We start from the raw sequence: 26,221 nt of genomic DNA, 5'->3' as shown, positions 1-26,221 counted from the left end.
CTATAGCTTCAACCTTCCGGGCTGGGCGATGCTGGTGCCTCAGCCTCCCGACTAGCTGGGACCACAGGCGCGGGCCACCACACTCGGCTAATTTTTGTATTTTTAGTAGAGAAGGGGTTTCGCCAGGGTGCCCACCCTGTTCTCGAACTACTGGGCTCAAGGGATCTGCCTGCCTCAGCCTCCCAAAGTGCTGGGATTACAGGCATGAGCCACCAGCAACACGCCCAGATTCTTCTACACCCTTAATTGGGAGGTAAGGCTTCTGCTTGCAGGCTGTGCGTTCTTCCAGCCAGCCGCACCTTTGCTGTGGACTAAACAGGAACCACTGGATTACAGTCCTCTGGCTCTCTGCCCTGCAGGAGATTTTAATCAAAAATTCTAGGCCTAAGGGAAAAGCAGGGTTAAGCTGAAAATGCACACAGGGCTCCTGTAAATTTCTTTTCATAAACCACCCGCCCAGGGCATTAAATAGGGTACTTAGTTGATCCGAACCCTCCAGGGAGACCTCCGACCCTTCTCTTCGTAGCCCCCAGCTCCCCTCCCCCGGTTCCACTGAGGCAAGGGGACTGAGCTGCTCCACATGCCAGGAGTCAGCACGCCGGAAGGCCCCGCCCAGCGGCTGGCGCAGCCAATCGCAGAGCGGGCAAGTGGTGGGGGCGGGCCTGCCTGGGCGGCAAGGGGGCAGGGGGGTCTAGGGGCTTTAGAGGTCAATTAGCTGCTTTCGGGCGGCCTTAGGCGACAGGAGACTCCTGGACCCAGCACCTGCCCACTGTGCCTGTCCACCTGTGGCTACAGCAGCTGAGACCCCAGTGGGCTAAGATTGGACAGGGGCCACCAGGGACCCAGCAAGTCCTTCAGCTCTGTGAGTGAGGGATTTTCCGGAGTGCCAGGCCGCAGTATTCCCAGGGCCGGTGGGGGTGGGACAGGGAGGCTCGACCCCGGCAAATCAGGCAGAGGCGCCCCTTGCTCCCTGCAACATCGCCCACGTCCTGGGGCCACAGTGAGCATGAGCGGAGGGCGGGAGCAAGAGCCAGGGGACCTGGCCTGGGTCCCCAGCCCAAAGCCTGGGAAGCTGCCTACCCACCCCTGTGTGGGCGCGGACACTGGGGACTCTGGCTTCCGGTGGTTCGGCCACCTGATTCAGTTTATGCTCTGTGAGGGGAGCTGGAGTGTTGGCAGGACTGGCCCACCTGCAGGACTGCAGGACTGCGGGAACGGCGGTAGATGGGTGCTCTCCTTCCCAGTTTGTCCTGGGAAGACATTCAATAACTGTTTCATTACAAGGGGCATTTGGAAAACATACTTCACCTTCTGTTGTGTATTAGCCAAGAACAAGGTGTGATGTGACTTCCCAATTATTGGGGATCCCTTTGTCCCTTCTTGAAATTAGATGTCTTCATTCTTGAGGTTTTGCCTGGATGACCTCAGCACAATTGGTACAAAACCTGGGCCAACGGTTTCCTAGTTTCCCGGTTGTTGCCTTAAGCTTCTCGCCCATCAGGTACCTTCCTGTCCTTTTCGTAGCCTGTCATCATCATCCCAGAAAACTGTTTCAACTCCTACAGCTCTGGACAGGCTGCTTTTCATTTTGGTGGGTCCCTCCAATACCTCCACTTGCCCTGTTTTTCTCCAGCCACATCCTTGGCCTCTTCCACAGTCCTTAGGTAAATGCTTGGAAGAATAATTTAAATATTTTTATTCTACCATGGTGGCCCTAGTTTCTCAGGGGGTAGTAAAATGGCTTTTTAGGATCGGTCTAATCAGATCCTCATTTCTTTTCCCTTCCTAGATTTTTGAAACATGAATCCTTCACTCCTCCTGGCTGCCTTTTTCCTGGGAATTGCCTCAGCTGCTCTAACACGTGACCACAGTCTAGACGCACAATGGACCAAGTGGAAGGCAAAGCACAAGAGATTATATGACATGGTTGGTGGCATCTGAAACTGTCCAGGGGAACACCAGAGAGATGGGCATTGCTATTGGGATCATATGGCCAGAGAGTGGCTTCTAGAGGCTGGCTCCTACCAATAAGCTAACACAATAACTTAATAGCACTGATTATGAGCACGATATGGGCATACACCCTTGTTGTGTCTCAGCTTGGAAAACATCTCCTAGAAGTGTCAAGCCTTCCCTGGCCATGGTTACTCTTACATCTCTGTCTGAAGATTCACTTGGTTAGCATATGTTGGGTTTTAATTAGAAATAAATAGCATTGGCGGGGCACGGTGGCTCACGCCTGTAATACCAGCACTTTGGGAGGCCAAGGCAGGCGGATCACAAAGTCAGGAGATTGAGACCATCCTGGCTAACACGGTGAAACCCCGTCTCTACTAAAAAAAAATACAAAAAGTTAGCATGGTGGCAGGCGCCTGTAGTTCCAGCTACTCGGGAGACTGGGGCAGGAGAATGGCATGAACCCAGGAGGCAGAGCTTGCAGTGAGCTGAGATCGTGCCACTGCACTCCAGCCTGGGTGACAGAGCGAGACTCCGTCTCAAAAAAAAAAAGAAATGAAGAACATCAGTTACATGTTTGCCTTTAGAATGAAGAAGGATGGAGGAGAGCAGTGTGAGAGAACATGAAGATGACTGAGCAGCACAATCAGGAATACAGCCAAGGGAAACACAGCTTCACAATGGCCATGAACACCTTTGGAGACATGGTAAGTATGCTGTGGGCTGCCCAGCTCTGTGCTTCCCCTCCTCAGTTCTTTACCAAATTAATCTCTTGCTTCTTAACATTTTATTTACTTTTCTTTGAAGACCACTGAAGAATTCAGGCAGGTGATGAATGGTTTTCAATACCAGAAGCACAGGAACGGGAAACAGTTCCAGGAACGCCTGCTTCTTGAGATCCCCACATCTGTGGACTGGAGAGAGAAAGGCTACGTGACTCCTGTGAAGGATCAGGTGAGACTGTGTTAGGTTCAGACCTCCCATCACCCCAGGAAAGCCAAGAAGCAATTGACATTTGTGCTATGGTAGACTGTGCAGCAACATGCAGTTCACTTTTTTTTTTTGTATAATTTTTTTGTTTGTTTGTTTTGAGACAGAGCCTCACTCTGTTGCTCAAGGTTGAGTGCAGCGGCGTGATCTCGCCTCACTGAAACCTCTGTCTCCCAGATTCAAGAGATTATCCTGGCTCAGCCTCCCAAGTAGCTGGGGTTACAGGTGCCTGCCTCCCCTTCCAGCTAATTTTTTGTATTTTTAGTAGAGATGGGGTTTTGCCACGTTGGTCAGGCTGGTCTTGAGCTCCTGACCACAGGTCATCCACCTGCGTCGGCCTCCTAAAATGCTGGGATTACAGGCATGAGCCACCAAGCCTGGCCTGTTTTTTTTTGTTTGTTTTGTTTTTGTTTTTTTTTTTTGTTTTGTTTTTTGAGACAGGTCCTGCTCTGTCCTGCAGGCTGGAGTGTAGTGGTATGATCTCGGGTCACTGCAGCCTCTGCCTCCCAAGCTGAAGCCATCCTCCTGCCTCAGCCTCCTGAGTAGCTGGGGCTACAGGTATTCACCACCACTACACCCAGCTAATTTTAAAATTTTTTTTTCGTAGAGACAGGGTTTTACCATGTTGCCCAGCCTGGTCTTGAACTTCTGGGGTCAAGTGATCCGCCTGTCTCAGCCTCACTAAGTGCTGGGATTACAGCTGTGAGCCAACACATGTGGCCCTTCATATAATTTTGACCTTTTAAAATGTATTGAGAATTGTTTTGTGACCTAACATATGATTTATCATGGGGAATGTTCCATATGCACTTGAGAGGAATATATATTCTGCACTTGTTAGATGGAGAGCTTTCTATATGTCTGTTAGGTCTAGTTGGTTTAGTGTGTTGTTCAATTCCTCTAGTTCCTTATTGATTTTGTCTAGATGTTCTATTTACTGTTGAAGGTGGGGTGTTGACTGGGCGCAGTAGGTCAGGCCTGTAATCCCAGCACTTTGGGAGGCTGAGGTGGGTGAATTGCTTGAGCTTGGGCATTTGAGACCAGCCTGGGCAACATGGTGAGACCCCGTCTCCACAAAAAAATACACAAATTGGCTGGGTGTGGTGCTGTGTGCCTATAGTTCCAGCTACTGGGGAGGCTGAGGCTGGAGAATTGCTTGAGTCTGGGAGGCAGAGATTGCGGTGAGCTGTGATAGAGCCACTGCATTGAGGTCTCCATTATTGTAAAATTGTTTCTTCCTTCAATTTTATTAGTTTGCTTTGTGCATTTTGGAGCCCTTTTTTTTTTGGTTCATATGTGTTTATAATTGTTACATCTTCTTGTGATTTGACTCTCTTACGAACATAAAATGTTTTTCTGTAACAGTTTTTGGCTTAAAATCTATTTTGTGTGGTATTATTAGTATAGCCACCCTGGCTCTCTTTTGGTTACTATTTGCATGGATTATCTCTTTCCATCTTTTCACTTTCAACAAATTTGTGTCTTTGGGTCTACAGTGAGTATTTTGTGAGTTGCATATTTGGATTATGTATTACATTATTAAAAAAATTGATTCTGCCGATCTTTCCATTGATGAGATTATTTACATTGAAAGTGATTACTGAAACAGAAAAGTTACTTGACCGGGCACGGTGGCTCCCGCCTGGAGGTGAGGCTGCAGTGAGCCATGATCGCACCACTGCTCTTCAGCCTGGGGGACAGAGTGAGATTGACTCAAAAACAAAAAACAGAAACTTACTTATGGTTGGACTCACGCCTGTAATCCTATCACTTTGGGATGCTGAGGTGGGCAGATTGCTTGAGCCCAGGAGTTTGAGACCAGGCTGGGCGACATAGCAAGACTCCTGTCTCTACAAAAAATAGAAAAATAAGCTGGGCATGGTGGTGCACACCTGTAGTTCCAGCTACTCAGGAGGCTGAGGTGGGAGGATCAGCTGAGCCTGCGGAGGTCAAGGTTGTAGTGAGCCGTGATTGTGCCACTGCACTCCAGCCTGGGCAACAGAGCCAGACCCTGTCTCAAAAAAAACCAAAAACAGGCTGGATGCAGTGGCTCATGGCTGTACCCAGCACTTTGGGAGGCCGAGGCGGGTGGATCACTAGAGGCCAGGAGCTCGAGACTAGCCTGGCCAATGTAGTGAAACCTCATCTCTACTAAAAATACAAAAAATTAGCTGGGTCTGGTGGTGGGCGCCTGCAATCCCAGCTACTCAGGAGGCTGAGAATCACTTGAACCTGGGAGGCAAAGGCTGCAGTGAGCTGAGAATGAAACACTGCACTCCAGCCTGAGTTACAGAGCAAGACTCTGTCTCAAAGAAACCCCAAAAAAGAAAAACAGAAAAACCCACACACCAAAGAACTTACTTATGTCATCCTGCTGTTTAGTTTCTACATAAAGTGTTTTGCTCCTCAGTACCTTCTTTTGTGTTTGGTTAATGATTTATCCTGTAATATTTTGATCCTTTCTTAGTTCCTTTTCTGTATATTTTTAAAGTTTTGTTTTTAGTGGATACTATGAAGATTTCAGTTAACATGCTGAGTTCTAAGTCTAGTTCAGACTGATACCAACTCAGCTTCAATAGCATACATTAACTCTGCTCCTTTCTCTGTCCCCTAGCTATATTGTTACAAATTATGTCTTTAAACAATTAGTTCCTATTAACATAGATGCATATTATTTCATGCATGTTTTTAAATCATAAAGGAGAAAGAGGAATAACATACCCAAAATACAATAATACTAGCTTTTATATTTAGCTATATAGTTGCCTTTACCAGTGATTTTTATTTTTTCATATAGCTCTGAGTTATTATCTTGTATCTTTTCATTTTAGCCTGAAGGACTCACTTCAGCTTTTTTTTTTAGCCCGAGTCTTGCTCTGTTGCCCAGGCTGCAGTGCAGTGGCACAATCTCTGCTCACTGCAAACTCTGCCTTCTGGGTTCAAGTGATTCTCCTGCCTGAGCCTCCCAAGTAGCTGGGATTACAGGCACGTGCCATCACACACAGCAAATTTTTGTATTTTTAGTAGAGATGGGGTTTCACCATATTGGCCAGGCTGGTCTCGAACTCCTGACCTCAGGTGATCCACCTGCCTCGGCCTCCCAAAGTGCAGGGATTACAGGCATGAGCCACTGTGCCCAGCCAAGCATTCTTTTTCTTTTTTTTTTTTTTTTGAGGTGGAGTTTCCCTCTTTTTGCCCAGGCTGGAGTGCAATCGGGTGTGACCTCGGCTTACTGCAACCTCTGCCTCCCAGGTTCAAGCAATTCTCCTGCCTCAGCCTCCCGAGTAGCTGGGATTACAGGCATGTGCCACCATGCCTGGCTAATTTTGTATTTTTTTAGTAGAGACAGGGTTTCTCCATGTTGGCCAGGCTGGTCTCAAACTCCCGACCTCAGGTGATCCACCCGCCTCGGCCTCCCAAAGTGCTGGGATTACAGGCGTGAGCCACCACGCCCAGACCAGGCCAAGCATTCTTATATTTTTATTCATTTATTATTTTTTTAGTGACAGGTTCTTGCTCTGTCAACCAGGCTGGAGTGCAGTGGTATGATCATACCTCACCGTAACCTCCAACTTCTGGTCTCAAACGATCCTCCTGTCTCAGCCTCATGAGTAGTTGGAACTACAGATGCACACCACCATGCCCAGCTAATTTTTTTAATTTATATTTTGTAGAGACGGGGTCTCACTATGTTGTCCAGGCTAGTCTTAAACTGCTGGCTGCAAGCAATCCTCCTGTCTCAGCCTCCTGAGTAGCTAGGACCACAGGCCAGAGCCACCTTGTCTGGCTAATTATTTTTATTTTGTAGAGATGGGGTCTCCTTATGTCGCCCAGGCTGGTTGTGGACTCCTGGCCTCAGGTGATCCCACTTCAGTCTCCAAAAGTGCTGAAGTTACAGGCATGAGCCACCATGCTGAGCTTCCCCAACCCTGTTTTTTTTTTTTTTTTTTTGAGATGGAGTCTTGCTCTGTCGCCCAGGCTGGAGTGCAATGGCGCCATCTCAGCTCACTGCAACTTCCACCTCCCAGGCTCAAGCAATTCTCCTGTCTCAGCCTCAGTCAGCTGGGACTACAGGTACATGCCACCATGCCCAGCACACCACCACTGCCTTCTATACTCCGTGATTTCTGATAAGCAACTGTTAGTCTTACTGAAGATCCCTTGTACAGGATGAATCACTTATCTCTTGCTGCTTTTCTGTCTTTAGCTTTCTACAATTTGATTATAATGTGTGTCAGTGTGGATCTCTTTGAGTTTATCCTGCTTTGAATTTGTTGAGCATCTTCAATGTGTAGATTCACAATTCCCATCAAATGTGGGATATTTTTGGTCACTATTTCTTAAAAAAATCTCTCTAGGCCAGGCACAGTGGCTCACACCTGTAATCCTGCACTTTGGGAGGCTGAGGTGGGAGGATTGTTTGAGCCTGGGAGTTCAAGACTGGCCTGGGCAACATGGTGAGACCTTGTCTCTCCAAAAAATACAGAAATTAGCTGTGCTTAGTGGTGGTATGTGCTATAGTCCTGGTGCCATATTCCCAGCTACCTGGGAGGCTGACTATAGCTGGTGCTATAGTCCCAGCTACTTGGGAGGCTGAAGGGGGAGGATTGCTTGAGCCTAGGAGGTAGAGGCTGCAGTTATCAATGAGCCATGAGATCACACCACTGCACTCCAATCTGGACGACAGAGCGAGACCATCTCAAAAAAAAAAAAAAAAAAAGATAGGGATGTATCTGCATGACTATGGATTAGGCAATGGTTTCTTACATACAACCTAAAGCACACCAACCAGAGGAAAAATAAATTATGCTTTCTCAAGATTAAAAAGGAGACTATCAAGAAAGCGCAATGACAACTAATAGATTGAGAGGAAATATTTACAAATTATATACATGATAAAGGTCAATTACCTAGAATATATATACTTCAAAGACTCATTTAGAGACAGGGTCATGCTATGTTGCCTAGACTAGTGTTGACCTTCTGGGCTCAAGTTATCCTCCTGCCTCAGCCTTCTGAGTAGCTGGGACCATAGGCCTATACTACCACAACTGGCTGTGGAGTATATAAAGAACTCTTACCACTCAATAATGTGGACAAAACCCAATTTAAAAATGAGCAAAGGCTTTAAATAGAATAAAAATGAAACATTTAAGATTGTTGAAAGTGGTTGCCTCTGGGGAGTGGAATATGGTGAGGCAGATGTCTGGATTGGAGGGGACGAGCTATTGTGAACAATAAACCTTGTATCACTATTTGGCTCTCTGGATCACAGTTCACAACAAGGGATGAATTTGCTCCACAGGGGACATTTGGCAATCTGAATATATTTGTCATTGTTATAACTGAGGGGTCTTCCTGACATCTAATATGTAGAGGCCAGGGATATTACTAAACATCCTACAAGGCAGAGAGAGCCCCCATAACAAAGAATTACATAGCCTAAAATGTCAATAGTGCTGAGGTGAAAAATTGTCTAAAGTATGTTTGAGGCTGGGTGCGGTGGCTCATGCCTATAATACTAACACTTTGGGAGGCTGAGGCAGGTGGAGCACCTGAGGTCAGGAGTTTGAGACCAGCCTGGCCAACATGGTGAAACTCCATCTCTACTAATAATAAAAAAATTAGTTGGGCATGGTAGCTCATGCCTGTAATCCCAGTTACGTGGGAGGCTGAGGCAGGAGAATTGCTTGAACCTGGAAGGCGGGGGTTGCAGTGAGCCAAGATCCCACCACTGCACTCCAGCCTGGGTGACAGAGTGAGATTTCATCTCAAAATAAATAAATAAACAAATGAAGTATGTTTGATAAAAATACAAATACAAGTCAATAAAAGTTATGTTAAAAAATTAAAAAATCATAAAACAATCTTTTGTACAATATCCACAGATTTACTTTTCTTTCTTTCTCTCTCTTTCTTTCCTTCCTTCCTTCTTTCTTTCTTGCTTGCTTTCTTTCTTTTTTTTTTTTTTTTTTTTGAGTTTCACTCTTGTTGCCCAGGCTGGAGTGCAATGGCACAATCTCAGCTCAATGCAACCTCTGCCTCTCAGGTTCAAGCGATTCTCCTGCCTCAGCCTCCTGAGTAGCTGGGATTACAGGCATGTGCCTGCTTAGTGGGGGTATAAGCCCTCCTTACCAAGTAGAGAAAAAGGGGAGAAAATCACATTGCTAAAGCAATTGTGTTAAGCCCCATATTATCTTTACTTGTGGAAGAATGCAGCTTTGACCTATTATTCGACACTTAGCACATATAAAATTTTAGGCCTTAGCTTTCAGTTCCTCAGATCGTAGCAAATTGAAGTGTTAGGCTAACAAATTAGCTTACAGGCAATAACAGAAATCACTGACTGCACTACTACTGACGGCTACAGTAAGATCTCTGATAAAAACATGTTAAGTGATGCTCACTCAAATCCGTAAAGGTGCAGAAATACTCCTCTCAAACATAGTAAAAATAAAAACAATCTAATTATCTTGTATGTCAATTAAATGAACTATGGTATACCTATGCAAAGTACTAAACAGCCATTAAAAAGGATAACATATGCATGTAAATTACTTGGAATTATCACAAACATACATATGGAAAAAGGCAGGTTTCATACAACATGTATAACATGTTCCCACTTACAATTTTCTTTCTCTTCCCCATTCTTTCTCCCCACCATATATATATTGTTTATAACTTTCTATATTATTTCAACTGTATAATAGAAACTCATCTTTACAAAAAGAAAAACACAACTTTAAAAATGGTTAAACTATTAGGCTGGATGTTGTGGCTCACACCTGTAATCCCAGCACTTTAGGAGGCTGAGAGTGGATCACAAGGTCAGGAGTTCGAGACCAGCCTGACCAAATGGTGAAACCCCGTCTCTACTAAAAATACAAAAATTAACCAGGCGTGATAGCAAGTGCCTGTAATCCCAGCTACTCGGGAGGCTGAGGCAGGAGAATCACTTGAACCCTGGAGGCGGAGGTTGCAGTGAGCTGAGATTGCGCCAGTGCACTCCAGTCTGGGTGACAAAGCGAGACTCTGTCTCTCAAAAAAAAAAAAAAAAAAAAAAGAGGTTAAACTATTAAACCATTATGTCCCCCCATAAAATAATTAAAGTTCTTTCTAAGGACTGTACTCAATTCTTCCTATAAATTTTACTTTTTAGTCGACGGAATCAGTATACTGTAATGTTTTTCTTTAACTCAGGGGCCCAAGGCCTAGATAATCAACTTCTTTGAACAAGATGTGATATATTGGATACAGGGCTGGTATAAGACAACTTTGAAATGTTCAAGGACTGCTTTTTATACCCCAACCCTCTCCACCTCCCACCTAATCTGTAACTCTATGTCTTAGCACCCTTCCCTTAGTCACCTTAAAAATCTCATGAAGTCAACAAGGACAACAAAAAACTTAAAAACAGAAAAAATCTCATGAAGTCTAACCTACCCAAACCTATCCTTCATGAGAAGTCTAACCCCACACAGCACTTGGAAGGATTAATGCCATATTCTAGCCTCATCCACTGACAAAAGGGCTCTCTGGTGCTCTCCAGCTCCTGTTTGCTCACTTTCCATTCCTTTAGTGACATACCTCTGCTGGAGGTCAGTAAAACTTTGTTTAACCACTCCTTTTCTCCCAATGTACAAATGACAAATTGGTCCCGAATCTTTCTAGAGGCATCTACGAAAGTATTATGCTTGCTTTAGGATTAAGTAAGCTTGTTACCTCAAACAACAATTCCAACTAGGCTGGGGCAGTGGCTTACACCTGTAATCCCAGCACTTTGGGAGGCTGAGGCAGGAGGATGGCTCGAGCCCAGGAATTTGATACAAGCCTGGGCAACATAGTGAGATCCCATCTTGATTAAACAATATATTTTAAAAACAAAAAAGCTGGCTGGGCACGGTGGCTCACGCCTGTAATCTCAGCACTTTGGGAGGCCAAGGTGGGTGGATAACGAGGTCAAGAGATCGAGACCATCCTGGCCAACGTGGTGAAACCCCGTTGTAGACTAAAAATACAAAAATTAGCTGGGCGTGATGGCACGCGCCTGTAGTGCCAGCTATTCGGGAGGCTGAGGCAGGAGAATTGCTTGAACCTCAGAGGCAGATGTTGCAGTGAGCCGAGATCACGCCACGGTGCACCAGCCTGGCGACAGAGTGAGACTGTCTCAAAAACAAAAAACAATTCCAATTGGAGAAGGGCTCTGGCAAGTGGCAAGTCTGAAGCACACAGTTTGTAAATCACAAACATATAATGATAAAATCCTTCTCAAAAACAGTCTATACATGTTAAACATGAAACAGCTTCACCCACCCAAAACAAAATCACAAGGTATCAATTATTAGGCTTACTAGTTTTCTGCTCCATACAAAACTAATGTATTGGGATGCACAGATTACAAGTAGCTCCTGAATAACAGATACGTTCTTCTTTTTTTTTTAATTTTTATATTTTTGAGACGGAGTTTCACTCTTGTTGCCCAGGCTGGAGTACAACGGCATGACGTCAGCTCACTGCAACCTCTGCCTTCCAGGTTCAAGCAATTCTCCTCCCTTAGCCTCCTGAGTAGCTGGGATTACAGGTGCCCGCCACCACGCCTGGCTACTTTTTTCTATTTTTAGTGGAGACGGGGTTTCACCATGTTGGCCAGGCTGGTCTCGAACTCCTGACTTTAGGTGATTTGCCTGCCTCGGCCTCCCAAAGTGCTAGGATTACAGGCATGAGCTACCGCGACTGGCCTAACAGGTAAATTCTTATATAGAGAGCACGGTCTGAGGCAGAAGTTCATCTTTTTTAAAAAAGCAACTTTTCTAACAGCATGTGACTATAGAGTAGGAGATGAAAGGGTAATTTTGGTGCACAGAGATATAAGGGGATGAGAAGGGTGGAGACATCAGGGTCCTGCAGAACTTTACATAGGTGATATTTACACTCACACAAGGGAATGAACACCGACCTTTCAAAAGCTTTTCCAAAAACAGAAGAGGAAGGAACACTCCTCAACTCATTCCATGAGGCTAGAATTGTCTGGATACAAAGACTAGACAAAGACATCATAAGAAAACCATAGATCAGTGTCACTTAGAATAGCATTAAAAGGAATACAATACTTAGTTGTAAGACTTCTACAATGAGAACTACAAAACATCATTGAAAGAAATCAGAGACCTAAATAAATGGAAAGACATCTCATATTCAGCATTGGAAGGCTTAATATGGTTGAGATGGCAATACTGGTCAGGTGCAGTGGCTCATGCCCATAATCCCAGAATTTTGGGAAGCTGAGGTGGGAAGATTGCTTGATTCCAGGAGTTCGAGACCAGTCTGGGATACGTGATGAGACCATGTCTCTACAAAAAATTAAAAAGTTAGCCAGGTGCAGTTGCGCACGCCTATGGTTCTAGCTACTTGGGAGGGTGAGGTGAGAGGATTGCTTGAGCCCAGGAGGTCAAGGTTGCAGTGACTGCTGCCTGGTACTCCAGCCTGGGTGAAAGGGCAAAACCCTTTTGGGGAGGGTGGGGAAGATGGCAATACTCCACAAATTGGTGTGCAGATTCAATGCAATTCCTATCAAAATCCCAGCCTCTTTTTTTTTGTTTTGTTTTGTTTTGTAGAAATTTACAAGCTGATGCTAAACACACATGTGATAGGATCAGGGCTCAGGCTCAGGTCTGAGCCTCAATCTGACACTCTCTGTGGAGTGTCAGGAAATAACAGATAAATAGCATCGAATTTGAAGGTTTGCCGAGAAGTGAGAGAAAAAACTCCCTTTGCCTGCCTCCTAGGCTTCAAAGCTGTCTGGGCCAAGACGTCAATTTAGCTGCATCATGGGTCAATGAGGCCTTTGCGAATTAGGCAAATAAATCAAGTTACTAGAGTTTAAGCTGTGTTTTCTTTCAGTATTCCAATGAATCACTTTTTGACCTTTGGAATTATTAGGTACTTGTCAAGACTGATAAAATTTAGCTGGAGATATTGCAGATATGGGCGATAAATATGACTGAATAAAGTCTGAAACCATTCAAGACTATAAAATGTGTTTGAGATTTAGGTGAGGAGGAAAGACCTTTTGAAAATTATGAAGGCTATTAACAGGCTGAACATGACTTCAATTCACCATATCTCAGAATCGGTAGGTACTCCTATAAAAGTGTGAGTGAGATAGTTCACTCATGTTAATAGGCTCCTCGTAATGATGCACAAATTCACAGTAGTGCTGGGTATGCGGCACGTCAAAGGCCCAAATGCCTTTTATTATGAAAGACAGGCCAAATCTAGTCAAGTTTTAGAGTTACCTATACTTACTGTATTTCTATATTAGGTTATTTCATGACATTTATTTCATGACTTTTTTCCTAAAAATGAATCTGAATAGCTTTATTTCTTTTCTCTTTCTTCTTGAGATGTGGTCTTGTTTTGTCACTTAGGCCAGAGTGCAGTGGCATGATCACAGCTCATGGTAGCCTCAACCTCCCAGGCTTAAGGGATCCTCCCATCTTAGTAGTTGGGACCACAGCCATGCACCATCACGCTTGGATAACATTTTCATTTTTTGTAGAGACGGGGTCTCGCTATATTGCCTAGGGTGGTCTTGAACTTCCGGGCTCAAGTGATCCTCCCACCTCAGCCTCCAAAACCTCCAAAAATGCTGGGATTACAAGCACCAGCCACCATGCCCAGACTTTATAGTTTAATTTCATAGGCATTTGTCCATGGTGGGGGAAATGCTGAGAAAGAAAGTAGAGAAAAATACACTTTATTTCCTATTTAAGTAGACCTTATTTTGTTTAACTATACTGATACTGATAGGGCAAGTATTATATTATTAAGTAACTATTAACATTCTATTAACTATACTGATAGGGCAAGCATTTTATTAAATAATTATGTATATTCTATTCAAACAAATTAGAAGCCTTCTAGATTAAAAATATATGTATAGAAAGGTTTAAACTGCCTGAAAATTAGAAGGTAAATGACAAATATTTACATATCATAGGAAAGAATGTTCAGATCACACACAAAGAACATATAAACACAGATAATAGTAAGATACGAAGACATCAAGCAAACGAAGATCAGTGTCTTCAAAAATGTTGTATGTTTGGCAAAAGCTCCTATCACAAATAGTAGGAGGCCGGGCATAGTGGTTCATGCCTGTAATCCCAGCTCTTTGGGAGTCTGAGATGGGTGGATCACCCGAGGTCAGGAGTTCAAGACCAGCCTGACCAACATGGCGAAACCCCATCTCTACTAAAAATACGAAAATTAGCTGGGTGTGGTGGCACATGCCTGTAGTCTCAGCTACTTGGGAGGCTGAGACAAGAGAATTGCTTGAACCCGGGAGGTGGAGGAGATTGCACCACTGCACTCCAGTCTGGGAGACAGAGTAAGACTCTGTCTCAAAAAAAAAAAAAAAAAAAAAGATTTTTTTAGATGTTCCCACTTTATGCCAAAATCTATGTGGCTACACATACCAATAAAGCCCTTCTTTGCTAGCTCCATGGTGAACCTCCTTGTGATCTTTTCCAGTTCGTTATCCTGTAAAATAAGAAAACAATAAAAATAAAAAAAGATACAAAAATCGCTTGAGATTATAGCTAGCATCTTATTTTCTATTTATAGTACATTTTCATGTCTTCTCATCCTTAGAACAACTCATAAGGTAGGCAATGCCATTTTAAAGGTGAGAAAATAAGGGATCAAAAAAGTAGGTTATAAAAACAAGATAGTAGAACCAGGACTCAAATTCCCATTCTATTAATTCCCCACTGAAAAATATACCAAATCTTAATTAAGATTAATTGTAATATAATTATATTCCATCTAAATGGTGAATTTTAAAGAGAATAAAAATCATATCTGTTTATGTTTGTATATAGATAATTTAGTATTATGTAAAGCATTGTGACAACCAGTTTGAATTTACTTGGAACTGACAGGATAAAAAGTAAGGTTTTTATTGGCTTAGTTAAGATATTTGTCACTAGCATGAGATCCTGAACTAAAAACTTCAGATCACAGTACTACTTTTCTTCTTTCTTTTTGAGACAGAGTCTTGCTCTGTTGCCCAGGCTGGAATACAGTGGTGAAATCTCGTCTCACTGCAACCTCTGCCTCCTGGGTTCAAGCAGTTCTCATGCCTGAGCCTCCCGAGTAGCTAGGATTACAGGTGTGCGTCACTATGCCTGGCTAATTAGATCACAGTGATTCTTTTTTTTTTTTTTTTTTGAGACAAAGTCTCGCTCTGTCACCCAGGCTGGAGTGCAGTGGCATGATCTCGGCTCACTGCAAACTCCACCTCCCGGGTTTACTCCATTCTCCTGCCTCAGTCTCCTGAGTAGCTGGGACTACAGGCACCCACCAACACGCCGGACTAATTTTTCGTATTTTTAGTAGAGACGGGGTTTCACTGTGTTAACCAGGATGGTCTCGATCTCCTGACCTCGTGATCCGCCTGCCTTGGCCTCCCAAAGTGCTGGGATTACAGGCGTGAGCCACCGCACCCAGCCAGATCACAGTACTTCTTAAATATGGGTATAGGTGTCTAATAATATGAAGATATTAATTACCTTTTAAATAAGAAAATAATAATACAAAAAGCAAAAAAAAAAAAAAAACAAGACTCATAAAAACAAAACCAAACAAAGCAGAAAATGATAAAGGATATAGATATTAAGTAGGTGACCTTTATATGGCAAAACACTCAATGAGTTAATTCTTTACTTTTTTCATTCCATTTGAAAAGCAATGGGGACTATTGATTTCACTGATATGGGGGATACAGAGAAGCCCAGTAATTTCAAGTCCTTCATAAATGCACTGTGTGCACAAATATCACTTTGAGGCCGGGTGCGGTGGCTCATGCCTGTAATCCCAGCACTCTGGGAGGCCAAGGTGGGCAGATCACCTGCGGTCAGTAGTTCAAGACCAGCCTGGCCAACATGGTGAAACCCCCTCTCTACTAAAAATACAAAAATTAGTCAGGCATGGTGGCATGCACCTGTAATCCCAGTTACTGGATCAAGGAGAATCGCCTGAACCCAGGAGGCGGAGGTTGCAGTGAGCCGAGATCGCACCGTTGCACTCCAGCCTGGGCGACAGAGCAAGACTCTGTGTCAAAAAAGCAAAAACAAAAACAAAAACAAAAACTTTCATACTTACGGTATAGTTCTTGGGATAGATCTTAACACCAGCTTTAGCACCCCCAAACGGCACATCTGAAAGAGAAGGTTGATGGTTGCTATTCCATATAAAGGTTAAAAAAGTAAAATGACAGAAAGCGCCACACAATATTAGAAAAACGTGTGATGCTTTAAGCTTGAATTTCTGAAAGTTCAAGAAATAAACCTACCATCGTTTTCTCAACTGTACTTTAAACAACATTTATTGAACAGGAATTGTTCAATAAAATTGGCTAGCCAAGTTCTAATATATATATATAAAACATAATAATAATTAACCAATAATAATAAATACTTAAACCTCTAATCCATAGATTGCAAATGCAACAATGATAGCTTATTTTCTTGGGGAACAAGAGTGGGTGGGGACAGAGGGAACGGGAACAGGACTTTTGCTGAAAGGAGGGATGACAGGAACACAGGGCTGTGGGTGAAAAGAAGAACAAATAGAAGAAACAGCAGAGAAGGCGGCTGGCTGGGGTGGGGCGGGCGCCTCCCTGGCCCTGCTCCAGGACTCAGGACTGGGTCCCGCCTGGGCCGCCCCTCCTGCCAAGCCCCTGGCCTCTTCCCAGGGTGACTGGCCCACTCCTAGACCCTAGGACATCTGAAGGGCAGGAGTCCCAACGGCCTGAGAGGGTATGGGCCAGGAGCAGCAGGCTGACCCATCTGGGCCCAAAAGCCACCTGTGTTTGGGGGCTGGAATGCTGTCTAGAAAGAGGGCGCCCTGGGAAAGGGGCGCACGAGAGTTTCTCTCCTGAGAGGCCCCCATGCAGGTCGGGTCAACAAGGGGGCTTTATCTGCCTTGAGGCAGCGCTCCCTAAGTGAAGCAGGCCTACCCCAGAAGCACGGGGGCTTGGCTGGCGCCTGAACTCCCTGTGCAAGGCAGCACCTGCTCATGGAGCCCCTCAGCCTGCAGGTGCACACCTGGTTTCCAAGTCCTGCCTGGGGCCTTGCTAGGTGGGGGACGGACCTGGAACAGGACCCTAAGCCCACCCCCTCCTCATACCTGGCAGTCCAGGGCTCCCCGCCCAGTGGAGCCAGCACAGGCTAGCCAGGCCCCCCTCCTGCCTGACCCCCGGAGGCCAAGCTCCTCTCCTGCAGTAGTGCCGCCCTGCCAGTCAGGTAGCTCTGGGGGCAGGGGCAAAGGAGAAGGGAGGGCCGCAGCCCTCTGGGAATGGCCTTTCTGAGGCACTCAGTGGCTGGACTGGGGCTCTGGCAGGAGTTGGGGCATTAATAACACCCCCATCCTCCCCTGGGCTCCGCCTCATCTGACCCTCCAGAACCCCCTGCCCCAAGCCCCTACACACACTGTTCTATTCCTCAGCCCCTCTCAACGCCCTGGCACCATGGGGCCCAATGCATGTCCTCCCCTGAGAGGGAACAGCTCTGGGGCAACGGGCAGCGGGGTGCCCTCCCTGCCACCAAGATTTGGTGCCTAGAGCTGGTGGAGGGCTGGCCGCACCTCTCTGGGGCACACCAGGTCCTGCTCCCCCAGCCTATGGCTTTGGGGCGGAGCCCGAAGGGAGAGAGCAGGGGCGGTGGGTGGGGGAAGAAGGGGGTTTCTGCGGCTCAGTTTGTGGCAAGAAAGTTTTTTTTTTTTTTCAACTTTCTCTTGTGTAAAAAGTTCACGAAAGCTCGGCAGCCTCTGCAAATGTCAGCAGTGTTTTCTGGGGCGGGGGATCAGGGAGGGGCCCCAGGCCTGGCCTGCAACTTGCGACTGAAGGTGGCCTCTTATTGCTTAGAAACGTGTGTTTCGGTTTAAATACCAGACAGTAAAAATAGAGCTCGAGGACCACCCGCACTGTTGCCAAATCAGTGCCAGAATGAACAGCTTAAATAAATAAAAAATCGAAATATTTACTTCTGGATAAAAATCGCAGTAAAACCATTTGCCTTTCTTTGCATTATATATAATATATATTTATAACTGCCCAGCTGCGGGCGGCGGAGCCGAGGGCAGCGGAGGGGTCAGGACATCTCGATGACCTCCACGCTGCCCGAGAAGCTCCCCTGCTTGCCCAGGGCGGCCAGCTCCTCGCCGCGCGCGCGCCCCTCCACCATGCCCTCCTCGAACTCCATCTGGCAGCTGCAGCACTTGAAGTGCGAATCCGGGGCCAGCTCGTCTGACCAGCTGGTCCGCGCGTCCCGGGCTCAGCCCTTGCTGCCTCCCGCCGTGGCAGGTCGCTGCAGCCGTTGGGTTCCGGGGCGCCCGCCCGGCCGAAGGGCGCAAACAGCACCCTGCCCGGCCCTTGCACGCCCTCGGGGCTGAAGCACCGAGGACGCTTCAGGGAGTCGAGCGGTGGCGTCCAGGCTCCGGGGCTGGCCGGCTGGCCAGGGCCCGGCAGCCGCGTAGCCGAAGTTCAGGCCGCGCGCGGGGTAGCGCGCCGGGCCGTGGGCGTGCCTGGGCGCGGCGTCCGGGCAGGGCGAGGGCAGGCCCAGCATGGCCCCGACTGGCTGTCCAGCTTTCAGAGAGCTTCGGGGCCTCGCCGGGGTCGCTGGGCCCGGGCCGCCGGGCCGCCTGCTGGGGGCGTAGGCCGACTTGATGTCCAGAGAGAAGGAGGGCTTGAGGCGGCTGGTGTCCTGCAGGTGGTCCGAGGAGAGGCGCAGGCTGCGCAGGCCCTGCTGCAGCGTGCTGGTGGCCGTGGGGGGCGCCGGGGGCTTCCTGCCCGCGCTCGGGCCGCCCTCCCTGGCAGCTGCACTCCTGGTGGCAGCGGTCTCTGAGGTAGGTGGTGGCAGCCATGGCAGTGGGGCCCCGGCCGCAGGGCTGGGGGGAGGCTCCTGCATTCCTGAGGGGGTGCCCGCGTCGCCCTGCACGGCGGCCAGCAGCTTCGGGCTGCTCTGGTCCTCCAGCAGCTGGCCCAGGAAGTTGAAGTTGGGCGAGATGGACGGGCGCTGGTCCTTCACAAACCTGTAGGCGTCTTCGGAGGACATGCCCATGGTCTTCATGATGTAGGCGATGGCGATAGTGGCACAGCAGGAGATGCCGGCCAGACGGTGGACGATGACTTGGCAGCTGGACAGCTTGGCTTTATCGACGAACTCGATGGACTTGTCCAGCCAGGGCAGCAGCTTTTCACAGTAGTTGTCGTTGATGGGGACCCGCAAGAAGTGGCTCTGGTAGATGAAGTCAGGCTTGGGGCAGGAGTTGCTGGCATAGAGGACGTAGCTTATTCCATTCTGCGTCATCAGATCCTTGTTCAGGACGTCTTCCTGCGAGCCCAGGTAGAGGTGAGGCAGGATGAGGGTCAGGCCCACGCTGGGCACGAGCAGGCAGGACTGGGAGAGGCTCATGGGTAGCAGGGCAGCAGGCTCACCCTTGCAGAGGTCGGGGAAGCAGGAGGAGAAGGTGGCGAAGCCCCCCGTGATGATGGCCATGCTGTGGAAGCAGCCGGCCACGCTGTGGAAGCAGCCATCCAGCTTGGTCAGCAGGATGGAGAGGAAGCTGTCTGCGGCCGCGTGCTCTGGTCATAGACCACCACGTCCTGTGGCTCAGTGGCCTCCACCTGGCTGCGTGCGGCCGGCTGGATGAACTCCACAATGGTCACCTTGCCCTTCTGCAACCGCCACTTCACCAGCTTGGAGCAGCAGATGTTGACGGAGCTGAGCACATGCCAGCTGTTGTACTCCAGGAAGGAGTGACTGTCGATGACCAGGCCCCCCCAGGCCCGCCCCGCAGCAGGCTGGCCAGCTTCTTGGCGTCCATCACCTTCCTGGGGAGCCGGTCCCCGGCCATGATGGGGCAATGGGTCTTGGGGAGGGTGACCCCTGAAGTGAGGAGGGGCTGCTCCGACGGCCCAAGTGTGGCCTCGCACTGGGAATAACCTAGCACATGATGCCGGACCTTGCTTGCGCTCACCTCGGGGGTGCTCCGAGGACCCGCACCGCGCTCAAGGCGCCCGCTCGGCTGTGCAGTCCATGGGCCAGGCGGGGGCCCGCGCAGCTGGGGCGGGGGCTGGGGCTCTAATATATATTTAATCAGTGCTCTTCACCACTTTAAAAAGATAATAGCTTATTTACTCTCCTTCTACTATAATTTGGTCTTATTTATAGAATATGTTGAGGAATTGAAAACAAAGATCTAGACTTAAAATCCAATTAGCTCCCTCCCGTAAAAAAATCCCTCCCGTAAAAAAAGGCTATATCTTAATTTAGAGTAATTGAGAAATGATGCAGGTCTTAAAGAGTACAACTTAAAAAAAAATCAGTTCCGATAAGGTATATTTCTATAGCATCTTAACAGTAACATGTTTGTAAACATATTTCCCCAGAGTTCTCATTAGGTAGCAAGAAAAGCGATCACCTACCAACCACTGCACACTTGTATGTCATCAGAGAAGCCAAAGCTTTTACTTCATCTACACTCACATCAGTGCTATAACGGATACCTGGTGGTGTTTTTTAAAAAATGTGTTGGGGTGGGTGAGAAAGAAGGGGATATATTTAGAACAAATTTCAGTAAGTTTCAAAAAAGAAAGCTACAAATTGAAAATATCCACTTTTTACATTTTATACCCAAGCTATGTCCAAAAACACTTGAAGCAGCTCATACATCAGAACACCATAAAAAATGAATATAAAACATTTAAAAAAGCTGCTAATAACAGTAACTATGATTTCACAAGACAAAAATCACCCTGCAATGAATTTCTGTACACTTTCCAGAAGGCTTTTTTATGTTCCTTTTACCTTTGGTTTGCGTGACCTGGTTGCAGGGAGTTCAAGAATTCAGCTTGCTTTTTTAGGGGGTGGGTAGGGGTGGGAAACAGGGTCTTGCTCTGTTGCTCAGGCTGAGCGTAGTGGCACAGACACTGCTTACTGTAGCTTCAACCTCCTGGGCTCAGGTAATCCTCCCACCTCAGCCTCCTGAGTAGCTGGGACCACAAGTGCATGCCACCATGCCCAGCTAATGTTTGAATTTTTTGTAGAGTCAAGATCTCACCATGTTGCCCAGGCTGGTCTCAAACTCCTGGGCTCAAGTGATCCTCCCACCTTGGCTTCCCAAAGTGCTGGGATTACAGGGATGAGCCGCTATGCCTGGCAAGAATTCTGCTTTCTGATAATTCACAAACATGGGCAATGAATAGTCACCAGGTTCAAAATACCGTATGTCTAAACTGAGGTTTTGGCTTCAAATGGGTATATTGAAAGAGATCCTTACCTGTTATTCTCCTCACCCACTGCCAACCTCTTTCAATTTGAAGATGAGAAAGCCATTTTCCCTTCCTGAGGTTGAGTGATTCCCTTCACCACTTCTGCAAGAAGGGGAGGTAGCCAAGCAGACAGGTACTAGTGCCCCTGTATCTAGTAGCCATTACGTGTTGGTATAGGGTATACAGAAAGTGGCGATGCCCACTGCTTTGGCTTTGGGGGGTCTTGGTCAATTACCCTTCCAAGTTTTGGAGTGCTAAGCCACCTTTCTTTCTCTATAATCCATTGCTTCTCAATCCCAAGGAGGAAAGTCTGAGCAGGGTTGATGTTTGACTGCACAGTGCTTGGGGCACTGGGTGTTTGTGTGTGAAGTTTACCCACAAGAAGCTGCAGCATTTTTTCTACCCTCCCACTCTCAACAGATTCAGCCCCTCTCGAGGGGCTGGGTACGATTTCCACTGGGAGTCACAGGTAAGTAATGGGAGCCTCAGGGACAGCTCTTTTAAAGAATTCTGAGAATAAAAGTTTTTCAGATAGAAAATATACAATATCTCAGGGACTGGCAGTTTGAGAGAACTTCCCTAGTCAATTTTAAAAGCTAGCTTTTTTATATGTTTCTGAAAACATCAACCTTAATATTAACAATATTTTAAGAGAATGTATTTATTATACAGATCATAAAGAGCATATTCTAAGCTGAACATACTTATTTGGTCTACTGTAAAAACAAATCATATTTAGAGGAGTATGTGCTTACAACTATATCTTATACATAATTGATTCTCAAATTGTGAAATAAATGTACTCATTAAACTTTTAGAATGCAAAATTACAGGTAATTTTTCTAGCACACAGCAGATATCTGTATAGCTGACTCCCCCATCTCATTCAGGTCTCTGTTAAAAACTTCATTCTGAGAGGCTCTCCCTGACCACTGTATTTAAAAGAGCACCTCTTTCTCACTCCCACTTTCCTGCCTCTCCTACCTTACTTGTTTCTTCATATCGTTTATTATTACTGACTTTGCATTATACATGTGTTTAGTATCTGGCTTCCCTACCTGGCAAGTTAGCACCACGAGGGCAGACTTTGTTATGTTCACTGCTTTAATTCCTTGTTCCTAACATAGAAAATGGCATACATTAGGCACTCAAATACATGCTGAATTAATATACGAATATTCTGACTCTTAAAATTTAAAAAAGAAAGAAAAGCTATGGCCACAAAAAATTTTGACATACATGTACTTTTAAATAACTTACCATAAGCCTCCATACATATCATGAAAGGACTCAGTATACAACATTGGGGATGGGGGTGATGGGGAGATGATGGTCAAAGGGCACAAAGCCTCAATTAGACAGGAGGAATAAGTTTCTTTGAGATAAATTGCACAGCATGGTGAATACAGTAAATAATAATAGATTACACATTTGGCCCAACATGGTAGTTCACGCTTGTAATCCCAACACTGGAAGGCTGAGGTGGGAGGATCACTTGAGCTCAGGAGTTTGAAACCAGCCTGGCCAACATAGTGAGACCTCATTTCTACAACAACAACAAAAAGTACTGCACATTTCAAAATCACTGAGTAAATTTCAGATGTTCTCACCAGAAAAAATGATAATTATTTGCAATTGTTTCCAGTAGTGAACAGGTTAATCAGCTTGACTTAATTATGTAATGTTGTATTCATAAATCATAAAATTACTTTGTACCTCATAAATATATATCTACAATTTGTCAATTTACAATTTAAAAAATAAAAAAATTGAAAGGCTTTCCAGTCAGATGAGGCCCACAGAAAAGGAAAAAAAAATTGTAAATAATATTAAGATGAATCCTTTGTATCTTAAAAAAAATTGAGTTGGGTGTGGGGGCATGTGCCCGTAGTCCCAGATGCTCAGGAGGCTGGGGCAGGAGAATCGCTTGAGCCCAGGAGTTGCAGGCTGCAGTGAGCTACGCTCAGGTCACTGCACTCCACCCCAGCAACAGAGCCAGACCTTTTCTCAAAAAAAAAAATTGTTTTAACACTAAAATGTGCTTTTCAAATTATTCAAAATGCTTCTAAGTAATACCACATATTTAATGATAACTACACTAAGCCAGGAAAATAGTCAGGCGCTGTGCCCAGGTGACCCAGCCTGCACCATCCGCTTGCATGGAGGGGTGCTAACGCCACCCTCCTAGGATGGGCGTCACAACTGCGAGGAACATCGCACATGGGGAATCTGGCACGGTGCCCTGCAAGTGGTCAAACAGGCAAATCTCAACTGTTACCACTGCTATAACAAGTATTACAAAGCAATGGCATGTAACAAAGCAATTAAAAAGTCTAAACTGACAGGAGTTTGAACAAATGACTTAAACCTTGGTTTCATTACTTCTACATAAATTCACGGGAAGTGGTAAAACAATGTATTAATTAAGAACTAGTATTTCTTCTCCCACACATAAATCACTTTTTTCATTGCTCTTTTAGAGCCTGTGGAAGTCATCACTACATTATTTTTAATTTTCCTGGCTTTCTTAAGTGGAGGAAAAGTTATTTTCTTTTAACTTAGAAACTTAAAAATTTTAACTTGCATTTAGCAGGGAGCTAAAAACTGCTGGAACCAATGATATTCATAAATCAAACAGAAGCATTCAAATGGCAAGCCTAATATTCTAGAAATAGATGTTACTAAAAATTAGGAACCAGACCTCTCCTTCCACACAACAGTGTAAACAGAATGTCCATTTTATCATAAGTCATGGAATGATATGGGTCAGAAACTGTGTGTGTATAACAAGAGACATGTTCCGCTGGATGGAACCCAGGAATTCTTGTTTGTAAAGTTAAATTTTCTTTCCCAGCTACACCCATTTAGAGAGCTCAACCTGCTAAACAGTGAAGAGAAGCAGTTTCACAAATTACCTCTCACACCACAGGCATTTTCTGTAGGCTATGAACCAATAAAGGTTCAGTGAATGGAAGTACAGGAGGAGCTATAAAGAAAGTACCAGCTTAGTGGAAGAAGCCCTGGAGCCAACAGAGTAGGGACAAGGAGGGGATAGAAGTGAATGCAAGTGATATTGCCTGGGCTAAAGAAGACACATTTTCATTTTAAATTTCTAGTTAACCAGTGATACACACGTTTTTAATTCTAGAAATTGGCAAATACCGAGTACTGGGCTACCTAAACTGTTAATCTGAAAAACAAAAAATTTTAAAGTGCACCCATTAATAAAATACTCTGCGGCAATACTTGAGACAAAACAATCTCCAATAAGACACAATGTACCCACAAACAGAAAAAGCCAGTTACTCTTCCTTCTCTGGGTTTGGAAACCAAAGATAACTATCAAAAATATACTGTCACCTGAAAATTCTTAACTACATTCTAAGGCACATTAAGAGATTTAAGTAAGGAGGCTGGATGTGGTGGCTCACGCCTATAATCCCAGCACTTTGGGAGGCCGAGCTGGGCAGATCACTTGAGGTCAGGAGTTCGAGACCAGCTTGGCCAACATGGTGAAACCCCCATCTTTACTAAGAATACAAAAATTAGCTGGGTGTGGTGGCATGCTTCTGTATTTCCTAGCTACTCATGAGGCTAAGGCGGTGGTTACAGTGAGCTGAGATTGCACTACTGCATTCCAGCCTGGGCGACGGTTTGAGACTCCGCCTCAAAAAAAAAAAAAAAAAAAAAAAAAAAGTAAGACTCCAAAAAGGAAGTTACTCTACTTAATGGATTGGGAAAAAATAGCACAACTGGAGAATGTGAAGGACAAAATGATGTGACATATACATACAAAGTTCTGAAAGGCAGGGAAAGCTTAGCCCTTTTTAATGCCCATTCCCATTCAAATATACTCAATTTGAAGTTATTCAATAAAGTCAAATAATAGGTAAATACATATGCATACAAGAAAATCAGAAAATCTTAAAATATTTAATCCAAAATGAAGCAAGAAGGATCTTATGTGGTCTGAATATTGTCACTTTTTATAAAACCAAGCCTTTCCTCCTTCAGCAGAGAAGGCTGAAGGTGAACAGGACCAACAGAGATCAAACAGGGGCACAGAACAGAAACTAGGGGGAGGAAGGAAGAGATGTTTTATTCCAGAAATGGAGGAAAGTAAATTATATTTTTGTATCCCAAAGTCTTAGAGGGTTAGGCATGGTGGCTCATGCCTGTAGTCCTAGCACATTGGGAGGCTGAGGCAGGAGAACTTGAGCTCAGGTGTGCAAGACCAGCCTGGACAACAATAGTGAGATCCCATTTCTACACACACACACACACACACACACACACACACACACACACATCTTAAAACCCTGTTAGACTCCATTGATGCATTACTAGTGTCTGGGATCAACTGAGTCTTTGGTCAACTGTGCTAGTAGGAATGAAGGTAAATACTTTTAACAAAGAGCAGGAGTCCACGGCTGGCTAAGCTAGATAGTGAATGGGCTCGGTACACAGGTGTCGGCCACAGAGCTGATGCCATTAGACACATGGCCTAAAAATCAAGGCCACCCTGCTGACAAAGTAATCTGTGCATCCAGCTCACCAGAGGAAACTGAAGACACACCACCCATGACGTTTATTATTTATCTATCTCAGTAAAGCTGGAGGAAGGGCTAGGGACAGAATGACGTATGTACTACAATGGGAACTTTTAAATCATTCCTTCTATTCTGAACAGAAACCAACTAAACAGTTATTTTATGTTAACTGGTATCCAGATGTTTCCAAAGAATATTAGTGAAATGCAGACATCTGCAACTATACACAGCACAAAGCACTGATCTGATTTTTAACTTAATTACCACAGATATTCCTTAGTATGCTCAAGTCTAATGAGCAGTGCATGCTAAGTTTCTCTAGGAGAAATAAAAATCAAAAGCAGAAACTAGCTTAAGTTGCTACAGTGATGAAGAAAACAAACCAGCT

General features: G+C 45.5%; 1 protein-coding gene and 3 pseudogenes across 2 annotated transcripts in view; 2 read left to right on the top strand and 2 right to left on the bottom strand.

The window, feature by feature from the left end:
• Positions 1–26,221, top strand: part of ANXA8 (annexin A8) — a 523,804-nt gene that overhangs the window by 407,675 nt on the left and 89,908 nt on the right. The gene's annotated exons all lie outside the window — the stretch shown is intronic.
• Positions 703–3,451, top strand: CTSLP2 (cathepsin L pseudogene 2; annotated as a pseudogene). Its single transcript, NR_033407.1, has 4 exons — positions 703–862; positions 1,790–1,926; positions 2,544–2,663; positions 2,764–3,451. The product of NR_033407.1 is annotated as a cathepsin L pseudogene 2 (transcript).
• On the bottom strand, positions 11,906–20,516 carry GLUD1P6 (glutamate dehydrogenase 1 pseudogene 6; annotated as a pseudogene).
• On the bottom strand, positions 16,385–20,091 carry DUSP8P1 (dual specificity phosphatase 8 pseudogene 1; annotated as a pseudogene).

Source organism: Homo sapiens, chromosome 10 (genome assembly GCF_000001405.40).
Source record: "Homo sapiens chromosome 10, GRCh38.p14 Primary Assembly".
Lineage (NCBI taxonomy): Eukaryota > Metazoa > Chordata > Mammalia > Primates > Hominidae > Homo > Homo sapiens.
Note: the sequence above shows the minus strand (reverse complement) of the source record. Positions and strands in the feature narration are given on the sequence as shown.